The following is a 12481-nucleotide window of genomic DNA, read 5'->3' on the forward strand; positions in this document are numbered from 1 at the left end:
TGTTTTATGTCCTTAAGCATAACCTGTAACCATGTGGTAGTACCACTTTTCAGCCGTTGCCTTTTTACAATGGTGACCCAGGTTCAATCCCAGCCTGGGTGATGAATACTTTCCAGTTAACAACTGTGTGACGTTTAATCATCTCGTGCTCCGCCATGAAAAACTCTAACTGCCTTTCTGAAATCTTCCTTTCTCTCAACTGACTTTAAAGGTTCTAGATCTGGTAAAAGCTGCTTACCACCACTTATAAAATATCTTGTATACTAACGGTGAACTTATAACCTAACGGAGAGTTTTTAGTTTCCCCTGTGATGTTACCTTTGGTAAAATTCAAAAGCCAGAAATATTACCTGCTTGATTTAGCTAAAGTCAGGAAACAGAAGATGTCAAAGGATTTTCTGAAAGGGTGCTGAGCTTGATTAAAAGTGGATATTCAAGTTATAGGTATATTTAAAAGACCTGCATGTTTTTGTCTTCTTGGATCGTGTTTTTCTTGAAAAGAACTTTTCCATTGACTGAATTACTGTTCTCCACTCTGTCTTTCCACTCTTAATGCACACAAGATAACTTCTGGTGGCCTGAAACGTTTTGGGAAAAACAGAAAATGCATGATGGATTCCATTTTGGGAGAAACCTCTGTTTTCCTCATGGAATCCCAGAATCTAGAGGCTGATCAATCCTGCTCAAAATCTGTTTTTGTCTTACAGCTATACAAGTTGATTAGGCCCTAGAAACTTCGTGGTTTGCTATCCCTGTTCTTAAAGGGCTCTACTGGGAAGCCAGTAATGCAATTAGGAAATGGGACGAGAAGAAATCTTAGAGCTACTGGATCTTCTTCTGTTTGTCTGTGTAGCAATATATGTGTTGTGTGTGATGTCTGTAACGAGGACCAATTGATTGCCTTAAATAAAAATAAGCACTTAAATCAAATATTTTAGAGGAAAGTTAAAACCGTAATGCCTTTTAGTTTATGTGTTTTTAAACTCTAAGAAATAAAAACTGTTTTAAAGATCAAATTGGAAAATGCAAATATCATCAATATGTAAATAGCAGGTTTAAATCACATAAATTAGATAAAAGGCTTGCTAAATATTTCAAGGTTGTAGGCTGCCTACTTTACAACTTGGTAAGGCCTGGGGACATATGAAATTAACCATGCCCTAACTAGAATGGAAAAAGTCAGACTTTATCTGCATCTAGTACATAATTAAAACAACTTACCAGGTTTACATTAAAGTTAAAAATTGCTAAGATTGACCATAAAAATATGTAAATAAGACAACTAAAAATAAATTTACATGCAAGGTGTGTAGGAACACTTAAATGTGTTTGTGGTAAAAGATTATAAAAAGGCATAAAAATGTAAATGTTGCCTATGGAAAAAGGATTCTTTTGAAACCTATGTAAGGGTAAAATTTGGCTTTCCTTCCCTTGTACAGATTTTTCATGTAATAGAGAAGAATAATGAAATATTTGGTTTGCCTTGTTGGTAGAATGCCAAGGAGAGAAAAGAGTAGACAGGAGACAAACTGTTTGGAAAGCTAAGTCTTACCTCTTAATGAGTAAAGATTGTTGCCTAGTTTTAAAATTTTTGAGTCATCCTTTTGCCAAAATAAATAACTTATGTGTAACCTGGAATTGTATTTCATACTATCAAGTGTCTTAAACCTCTTTTTACTAATTAGAGCTTTTATTTAAAATTAATGATATGTAACTATTACTGTATATGTAAGAAAAGAAACACACTTAGCTATTGCTTTGCGGATTTGCATTTAATTTTAAATTTTACAATTTAGATTCAGCATGAATTGCAATAAATGGATCTTCAGCAGAGTTACTAATAGAAAAATGAGCTTTGCCATCATCAGAAACGTAGATTTTAATGCCTGTGCAGTTGCCATTAATTTTATCTCCAGAAATGACATCACAGTATGTGCCAGCAGGAAGACCAGTTTGCAAAGTTAAAGAAAATGTCCTGTAAAATAAAATTTCAGATTTAACTTCAAAACAATGAAATCAAGAATACAGACTAACACAAATAAACAGCATAACTTTATGTTTTAGAACCCTAAGCAGTGAAGTCTCATTAAGAAGAAAACCCATATGCCTCCCTAGTAGGTGTAAACAGCTTTCTAGGACCAAAAGTAACCTTACAGAAAACCTACCAATTTCCTTTTCAGTAGTGAAAATATAACCGAAAAATCAAAGTTGAAGAATATCACCGAAGATTGGCGGGAGCGGTCACATTTTGATAAAGTGCTACCTTGGTAAAATCAAATTTTTTCTCAACTGAACTTAATGCCAATTACTTTAAAAATTTAAAGGGTATTATTTTTTTAACCTTCTTTTATTCTACATGAGGTCAAAAAGAATTTAGGGTGTACATAAAAACAATCTAGCATTTGTATGAGGAAGTGATAGTTTGAAATATAAAGCTTTTTCACAAAAGATTTTTTTGGTATTTTCATCCACAAAAGAAGGAAACTAAGGAAATAGACACGCATTTTTTTGGCAGGAAAGAGATCAACTTGACTTATATATTTTTGTATTTATTTATTTTTCATAAGTGAAGTATAATTTATACTAGAGTGAGCTAAGTATGAGTGTCAGTTGGCCTTGGACAGAGACAATTCAACTGTTTGCAAGGAGGTCTTCTCAGCTACAGTTTCGGGAATCATTTATACTACAGCCAAAGGATACAAAAATCACAGATGAAAGGCCAATAATGAGAAGTTTCAGAACTAAAACTCAAGTCTCCTGAAGCAAATCATTAACCACAAGATACATATTATTTATCCATATGCTTTAAAAATGTTATTTGTCACAAGGAGACAGAGAAGTGAAGAAAGTATACCAAAAAACTAGGTAGAGCTGTCATTGAGAAAAAGAGAAATAAAGATATTTTAGTACTGAGGCAGCATTTTTCCATGATTAAAAGAGCAGGACTATAAGAAACGTTCTTTTAATGATTTCACAATCCTTCTATTAATTACTTTGTGTATTTTGTGGCATGTGTAGGTAAGCATATGAATGTGCATTCTATATATGCATAAGATATTGCAAGGGTGCACAGAAAGGATTCTGCTTACAACAGAAAGCCCTTATGAAAACAGGAGAACGAAGGAGTAACAGCCATCATCCTTTTGCTTCTACCCAATTTTGATCTCTATTGTCTTCTCGCTCCACTGACTACATGATTTTTCAGATATGATAAATGTCAATGAACAGAAAAAAAAAAGAATAAACCAAGAACATACTGGTACAAAATATTATTTTTAATTGATATTTACTTACCAGTCATCATTGTTGAAAACAATGAATCCTCTGTTTCCTCTCCCAAAAGCCACTTGGTTGCTCCCATTATCATACCAGTTTGTAAAAGGCTGGCCATCCACTACATTGCGGAAATTAACCATGTTCCTAAAAACACAATACCATATAAAACGTTGATATTCTTAAACTTCAACTGTTTTAAATAAAGTGCTACGGAAATTTACTATTAGAGGACATGTCTAAATACATATTCTCACCTTATTTGGCGCCATCGATGTTCACAGACCCAGTCATTGCCACAAGTAGTGTCTGGATTAATAGTAACTTCTTTAGTTACTCCATTATCATTTGGTGGCCCAACCCAATCATTAACATCCTTAATTACAGGAGGAAAAGCCAAATTTTAGCATATATATATTTATCTCTTCCTTCTCCTTTAAACCAAACCCAACCTATCCTGTTACTTGTGTCTCTGCATTCAGTGACTTTATCTAGAATCCAATGCCTTCATTGATTTTTATAGCCCTTTACTGGGTCTTCATCATCTCTCTATCCTCTGGTTCTCTTTTGCCATATTTCAAACAAAGGTAGCAAATTGTTATCCTCTCCTTTTCATTCCAAGGCACTGCAAAGACTTCTTTGCTCTGTCACCCAGGCTGGAGTACAGTGGCATGATCGTAGCTCACTGCAGCCTTGATCTCCGAGGCTCAAGCGAACCTCCCATCTCAGCCTCCCAAGTAGCTAAGACTGTTGGTGTGCACCACCGCACCCAGCTAATTTTTTTTTTTTTTTTAATTTTCAGTAGAGGCAAGGTCTTGCTAGCTTGCCCAGATAGGTCTTGAACTCCTCAGGTCAGCTGACCTTCTCAGCTGGCCGCACACAGTGCTGGGATTATAGGTGTGAGCCACTGCACCTGGCCTGCAAGGGCTTCTTAACATCACTGTAAGCCATGCAATGGCATTGAAATGGGAAGGGCATTAGTACTAGAAACACCAGGATTAAAACATAGGCTCTATTACTAGTAGCTGAGAAAATTTAATCAATATAAATAATTTCTCTGTGTCTCAGTTTCCTCATTTGTAAAATGAGAATAATGAGTTCTTTTGCTATAAAAATTAAGTAATATATGTGAAAATGCCTTGAACATGACATATGCTAAATAAATATTGGAGGCCGTCATGCTTCTTTTTAGATAAATGTACAAAATACTACATCTGAACATTTTTTTTTTATAAATTGACCATATTTTTAGTATTATGCTTTTCTGATTGGCACTTTAAGAAATCTTCATTAAAAAACACAGAGTAACCCTAGGAAGTTTATCAGTGTTCACCTTAAAATCACGTCATATGGTGAAAAGTGAACAAAACTTAAGAGTTTATAGCATGCAGCAGTCCTGTCAAAGTGGGAATGTTATAGTAATAGAAAAAATAAAAGAACTCTCTGACTCCTAACAACAGAAATAAGACCAATTAGTAGAAATTATAAGAAGTTGTCTCAATATAAAAGTACACCTTCTAAATATTAAAGCTGTTTAACAATAGAATCAGTTGTTATACATAGTAGCGGACTTCTCAAACTGAAAGGAATCTAAAAAAAGCTAGCTAGATATCTGTGTGACTCATAGGAAGGAGGAATTTCTGCTTTAGTTCTGAAGTCTCTGATGCTGTTTCTCAACCCTTTAGTTTAAAAGAAAACCTTCTACTAGCTTTCCAAATATCTTTACACTCTTATTTCTCTGTTCCTTTTTGAAACTACTCAGCAGAGTGATGTCTTTACCATACTCCCAAATATTTTTCTCATTCTTACCTTTCTTGGAATACTCTCTATAAATTTCTATCCTTTAGTACATACAATTTCCTTCCTCTTATAGTATACTTTCCCTATTTAACTCAGCTGAACTGGATCATTTGTTTCTATTCCATATAACTTTTTAACAGTATTTAAAAGACATTTATATTGTTCTCACTACGGGCAGATGATGTTTTAAGTTCTCTACAAGGGTTGGCATCTATATTCTTCCAATTAAACCTGAGGAAGGTACGAAGTATATATTTTAATCCCTGTGCCTAGCTCTTATTTTTAAGTGGTTTTTTTAATTTTTATTTTTATTTTCCCTGCGGGCTAGGGGGATGTTTGTCATATCTCTGAAAAAGCTTGCTATTCTTTTTCAATGGAGAATATAAAGTTTATTCCTTTAATATAACCTGCATTACTAAATCACAACCCTGTATCAGGTTTACAATAATTAAATATTTGTTGAATAAATAAACACTTAATAGTTGTCATATTAAATTAGGAGAAGATTGCCTCTTTTTTCTTGAGAAAAGGATATTTTGAACAACTCCAAAACTTACTTTTCCATTTTCAAAATATCTTGGCCAACGGTAGCTTGACATTACTCGTGTAAATCCATAAGGATGAGCAAGCATAAATCCAACTGCCATTTTGTACAGCCTGAAAGTTACATAATTATATTATCATAGAATATCACAATATTCATACCATCATTAAAAGAGGTGTTAAAAAAATAGAGAACTTGGTTTTCTACCTAGCATCCCAGAAGGTAAGTATAGAGGCTCCTCCAGCGCCATGTCCTCGTTGATTGTCATGGTTATCCACAAAGACAAGCGCTCTGTCAGAAGGCATGAAACCCCAACCTTCTCCCCAGTTCCTATTTTTGAAACATAAGATATACGTTGATGTATCATTTCACAATAGTTTGAGAGTAACTCTACTGTGCATCTCTTTCTGTAAGGCATGGCATCTGAAGATTAAATTCTTTCTCTAATTAGATGGTTACTCTGTAAGATATATATATATACACACACACACACAAACACACACTCACATATATATACACACACACCTCATAAACAAACACACGTGTGTAATCTACATATATATAGTCCATATTTGTATATACATGTATGGAATACTTATATTCATATTACAAATATAAAATGTTTGTTATTAAAAAATTTCCTTTCAGAGGTTTCAGCACATTATCATTTAGAGGCACTCCAGAAGGATCAATATCCACATCACATTATACAGAATGTCAAACTAGATTAAAATAAGGCTTTAATATTGTATTGTTATAATATAAATCATTTTACATTTCCAATTCGTATAAGTAAATACAATAGCATGGACACTTTGTACATACTTTATAAATGATAGGATCATTTTAATAATAACCTGGCTTTAAAAGATTATATGCAAACATCAGTCAAATCCAGTATATTCATCTTGTACGCAGACAGAAACTCCTAGGGTAAGTTTAGCGTTCCTAGGCATACTGTCTTGTGACAGACACTCTAAATACAAAAGATGATTGATTAGAGTTTAGGGCACTAGAATACTTATCATTAACAACTGACTCCTTAATAGTTGTCTGAATAAGAATGTTCCAGAAGATAACTCGCACTGGGGTAGTATGACTAACAGATCTATGAAATAGTTCAGGGGAAAAGTTGTATTTATTTACTTTAAGTAAGACATCTTCTCTCCATTCCACTTGCGAATAACTGTGCCGAGTTTTGCACCATACTTGAATTCTGTCACCCGGCCATTACCAAAGTAGTCACTGCTTTTAATTGGCTCACCACCCAGATCAATTACCTAGAAGAAATTTAGGAAAAAAAAACATTTTGCATAAGGACTTTAAAGCATTTTAACCGATAAGTTTATATTATATAAAAATTAGCTTTCAGCTATTTCTGAGTTATTTTAGACTTGTTGTGCTTTGTTCTTTAGAGACAGGGTCTTGCTATATCGTCCAGGATGGTCCCAAACTCCAGGCCTCAAGGAATTCTCCTGCCTCAGCCTCCCAAAGTGCTGAGTTACATGCAAGAGCCACCACGCCTGGTCCTATTTGTTATATGAAACGCTCAAAATCGTTTTCTTATTCTTATTATCTTCATCGGTAATATTCTTATATTCTTTTTTTGATAAAGTATACACTACAATATTGAAAGAAACATAATGTCAAAGTTACCTGTTGTCCTGTGAGAATACTTACCTAATTTTTAGTCTTGTACATCAATGATAATAATAACAGCTCACAGGAATACGATATTTACTATCTGACTGACTTTTTTTGATAAATATTAACTCATTTCATTTTCCAAAGAAAATAAAGACATAACTATTATCAGTATCCTACATTCTGTGTACCTCCATAAAACCTGTTGTGATAAAGAATTAGATATGCTGTATGTGAAGAAGAGGAGGTTAAAGAACACTGTTTTAAGGAAATGACTCAGTCTTTATCCTACAGAAATTGCATTTTTAATTGAATCTGCCGTGAATTTTCTAATGAATAGGATGATATTTTATATGCCTATATGTATTGACGTACCTCCTGGTAAATGAAAGGTTTACTACCTTCCGGGAACCAGTTACTGTTTAGATTATGCAGTTTGTCCAAAATTGCCTTTATGTCTCCAGGCCACATGTGCTTGGAAGCATCAATTCTGAACCCTGCAACACCAATGTCAATGAGATGGTTCATATATTCGGCAATCTTAGAACGCACATAATCCTTCCCCAGTGCAAGATCGAGAAGACCAGACAGACGACAATCTCTGACCTGTTGAGGTAAGAATGTTATGATTGATTAATAAAACCTCACTTTTCGCCTGAGAATCCATTTGATTATTCATTTATTCCATGATTCCTCAAGAGATATTCTATGGTGACTTCCTTGCATTGGACACTGGGGATGCTCACATTCTACTATAGATGTATCTTGGAAATATTTTCTAATAGAAAATAGAGAACTTAGGAAATAAAGTCGATGAGTTTTTCAATTGGTTGGGAGCTTTTTAAAAGTGGACAAATGTGTATTGATTAAAAATCTTAAATCAATATTTAAAGGTTTTCAAATATGGATTTGAGTTTCTTAAAGTAGTCAAACTTGTTAACCTCTGTCCCTAAGAGATCTAAATTCATATTTACAACGAAGTTCAATTAGCTACATGTCTACAACAAAAGGCATATATCACTCCTTATTCAGATCACTCTCGTAAAAAAATTACCTGAGTAGCATCATTATAGTTCTCGATATCTCCACTTCCAGTTTTACATTTACCATCATTAAAATCCCATCCAGAATATGGGACTGCTGGAAAGTCCCTACTTCCAGGGTTGAAGTAACTTCCACAGGTACTGCTTGTTCCTGCACTCACAGCATTACCACACATATGATTAATTACAGCATCCACATAAATACGAACCTAGAAAACAAAGTTTCTAATTCAGTGTGACTTACAGAGAGGCAGAAATTTAAAGAATTATTGATTAAATTTATAGTGTGCTAATAAAATTCCAAAATATTTCATACCTTATAACTATTTTCCTACAAGATCAAAAATCAACTGTGAAAGGAAAGTAATGTGAACTAAACACCTACATTCATTCCAGACACTTGGCCAAATATATATAGGAATGATAAACTGAGAGAACCGGAAACTACCATAAATAGGAGGAAAGGCAAAAAGCCCATTTTGGGGAGACACAACTCAGATGAGACTGAAAAGGTTACTATTTGGGAAATTTCAGTGGGTCACCAGGAGAAAGCCTGTACTCTCTACTAAGCTTGGAAGACAAATAAGGTAGCTATTCATCTCAAATTCTGCTCCTCATTAAATAGATAAGCTACCTATTCACCACAAAAAAAACCCAAGAATTAGGAATGGAGACACAAGTCATCTAAAAATGAGAGCAAATATTGTAACTGGAATTAAAATTCCTCACCAGAAAATCCTTCCAGGAAATATGGATAGTTATAGCGGTTAAAATTTGATGTTTTGCTTCAGAAGTAAACTCTGCTATAAACTTTAACTTATCTCTTTAGTAGAGAGCACATATACAAATATTTTCAAAAATTGAACATAAGGTGACAGTTACTTTTGAGTTTTAAAGTATGAAGTAAAATTAAAACTGATATGGAAAACTTTCTGCTCAAAAGGAGCAAGAAAGAAGAGACAGAAATCATTTTCCTATCTGTTATTTTTAAAGGAAACTAGAATTCACTTACCCCAACATTGTTGCATCTAGTCACCATGTTTCTAAATTCATCTTCATTTCCAGATCTTGTGCATAATTTATAGCTAACTGGTTGGTATCTTTCCCACCAAGGTCTGAAAGGGTTGTGAATGGCAACATTTTCATTTGGTGGAGAGACCTACAAATTAAACAGTCTTCATAAGTACCAAATTCTGTCTTACTGTATATCATTGAATGTTCTAGAATCTAATCAATAATACAAAAGATTCTTGAATCTTGGTATAGGCAGCTATCTCTTGAAAATATTAACAGCACATCGGAGGGCTCTTGTTGAAGAAAGATTATATCAGAAACAAAATATACAGTTGCAAAGAATACTACATTGTTTTTTCCTCAGAAAATTCTTTTACTTAGAATACTTACCTGTGAAGTAAAATGTTGCCCAAGCTTCACGTAGAAGATCAGAATAGTGTTTACTACAAGCACAGTGAATTCTGCAATTGATACTATGAATCATACCCACCTGAACCCCTCCAAATCCCTTGGGAGCTAAATATCGCTCACATTCAAGAGCAATATCAACCCATCGCCATTCAAACAGATGAACAATAGATGTTCGTCCTTGTTGTGTATTTGAGGAATACTGAGCCCAGCAGAACCCAATGGTGAAAAGCAACCAAAAGAGCTTCATTTTGCTTTGAAGTTGTCAGTGTCCTTTCCAGAAACTATTTATATTCCTGTAAGAAGCACATTTTACAATGTAAATAGTAGCATGAATAAATACTTGAGGGCAAACTGTTTATTCATAATCTGAAAAGGATTATCAATAATAATCCTAACTGGTGAAGAACATCAAAAAGTCTCTCATGGAAATCATCTCAATGACCTCTTAGACATTAATGTTTCTTTTCTTTTCTTTTTTTTTTTTTTTTGCATATGGTAGCACTTTTATTTTTCCTTACACAATGACATGTTGCTGTGGCCTAATGTTCTCACATAACAGCAGAAAACCAAAATTTGTTGTCAACTCTTAAAAGATCGAGAATTGCATACTAAAAAACTTTACATAAATTAAAAGGATGAATACATTTACCGGTATAAATGCGAACCGCTTCCAACTCAAGGCAAGTAACAGCCCACGGTGCTCTGGTAGATAACGTAAGCTAAGAAAGGAAACTGGGTCCTATGGCTTGGACTTTCCAACCCTGACAGACCGACAAGACGGAAACAACTGGTTCAGGAGCCCTTCCCAGCCTCTAGATAAATCTCAGAACACTCAGCCCTGACACATTAATACCCTGCACGGATCAGAGACTGCTGACCACACAGACTCACCAAGCCAGACTTGTCTTCCACAAGCACGTTTTTAGCCATGAAGTGACCAAGCCACGTGTACTAAACACTGACATCAAAGGTATGTACAGATACCAAGGGGAAGAGTTAACTTGAATGCCAGGCCAAAATCAGCAACAAGTTCTACAATCCAGTGCTGATATTGAGAAGAGAGAAAGACCCTGTCCTCTTGTTTTATATTGTTTTCTATTCAGTAAAAACAACAAGGAAGCAAAATCAAAGGCACAAAACCAGGCCTGGGCCTGGTTGGCCTAAACCCAGTAGTTACAAATCAACTTATGATTTAGAAGCCGATGTTATTCATAGATTCCAGACATTGTATAGAAGAACATTGTGAAACTCCCTTCCGTATTCTGTTTCTCCCTGACCACGGGTGCATGTAGTCCTTGTCGCATATCCCTGGCTTGTTCAAATCAATCACGACCCTTTCATGTGACATCTTTAGTGCTGTGTGCCCTTAAAAGGGACAGAAATTGTGCACTTGGGGAGCTCGGATTTTGAGACAGTAGCTATCCGATGCTCCCAGGTGAATAACACCCTTCCTTCTACAACTCGGTGTCTGAGAGTTTTGTCTGCCGCTTGTCCTGCTACATTTCTTGGTTCCCTGACCTGGAAGCAAGATAACTGATGGACGGCCGAGGCAGCTCCTTAGGCAGATTAGGCATGCCTTGTGGAGTAAGGCCGGGGCATCCCTCAGGCTGCCAGGGACTCTGGCCAGCCTGAGGGATGGGATCCAAAGAGCGCTCCCAGGTAGGAAATGGCCCTGGTTGAACGCCTCGCCAGAGCAGTGATCCCCGCGGAGGATTAACACAGTGGCTGAACACCAGGAAGGAACTGGCACTTGGAGTCCAGACATCTGAAACTTAGTAAGACAAGTCTTTTCAACTTGCCCCACTCCACCTGAGCGGAAGCTTGGCCTGATCGCTCATGGTGTGCCTGCACCCATATCAATTTCCATATAGAGATTCCTAGTTACAGCTAGTTTTAGATCCTCTACAGTGGTAAAAGGACAGGCAGCAGCAGTAGTAGTAGCAAAGGGACATTTATTTCAGGAAAGTTCTTGCTCCACCGGCCAAGAGAAGCCAGCACCTAAAGTTCTGTTTGACCCAGAGCTCGAGGACTCAAGGCAGGAGATGGCACCAACAGTGCCCTCAACCCCTTATCCAGTGGGGAGGCCCCCTTCTCCTGAGCCCACAGCCCCTAGACCACCCAGAGTAGACAAGAACAAAAGTGAAACTGCGGGAAAATCCACTTCCCTGGCAGCCCGCTTAACGGCCCAAGACGGGAATTCAAATGCCCTGAGAGAGCAGCGATATACTAGGACAGATGAGGTCAGACATACGGTAGAAAGGCATGCTTTTGTGTATCACCCTTTTACCTCTGCTGAACTACTCAACTGGAAAAATAACACTCCATCTTACACTGAAAAGCCTCAAGCCCTAATTGACTTGCTTCAAAGAATTATCCAGACTCAGAATCCTACTTAGGCTGATTGCCACCAGCTACTCATGTACCTCTTTAAAACACATAAAAGGCAACAGGTGCTGCAGGCAACAGTTAAATGGCTGGAGGAGCACATCCCAGCCAATTATCAAAGTCCCCAAGAATACATAAGAATTCAGCTGCCAGGAACGGACCCTCAATAGGATCCAAATGAAGGACCAGATATGGAAAGGCTAAGAGGGTACCGAGAGGCATTAATTGAAAGGTTGAAAAAAGGGGCTCAAAAGGGTACCAATGTAAATAAAGTTTCTGAAGTCATCCAAGGAAAGGAGGAAAGCCCAGCCCAGTTCTATCAAAGACCGTGTGAGGCCTATTGCATGTACACTCCTTTCGATCTGGA

General features: G+C 36.2%; 1 protein-coding gene across 2 annotated transcripts; it reads right to left on the minus strand.

Annotated features, from left to right (window-relative positions):
* Positions 1-1751: 1751 nt before the first annotated feature.
* Positions 1752-10790, minus strand: AMY1B (amylase alpha 1B). Of its 2 annotated transcripts, none has more exons than NM_001386925.1 (11): positions 10621-10790; positions 9809-10022; positions 9317-9463; positions 8316-8513; positions 7637-7867; positions 6764-6897; positions 5825-5947; positions 5631-5730; positions 3531-3649; positions 3295-3420; positions 1752-1975 (listed from the first exon to the last, which is right to left on the minus strand). In NM_001386925.1, exons 2-11 carry the CDS (start codon positions 9974-9976, stop codon positions 1786-1788), a joined length of 1536 nt encoding a protein of 511 aa, NP_001373854.1. In that variant the 5' UTR covers positions 9977-10022; positions 10621-10790; the 3' UTR covers positions 1752-1785. The 2 variants fall into 2 exon arrangements, with proteins under 2 accessions (NP_001373854.1, NP_001008219.1); NM_001008218.2 differs by lacking the exon at positions 10621-10790 and adding an exon at positions 10379-10547.
* Positions 10791-12481: the final 1691 nt, after the last annotated feature.

This window comes from Homo sapiens, chromosome 1, assembly GCF_000001405.40.
Source record: "Homo sapiens chromosome 1, GRCh38.p14 Primary Assembly".
Taxonomy (NCBI): domain Eukaryota; kingdom Metazoa; phylum Chordata; class Mammalia; order Primates; family Hominidae; genus Homo; species Homo sapiens.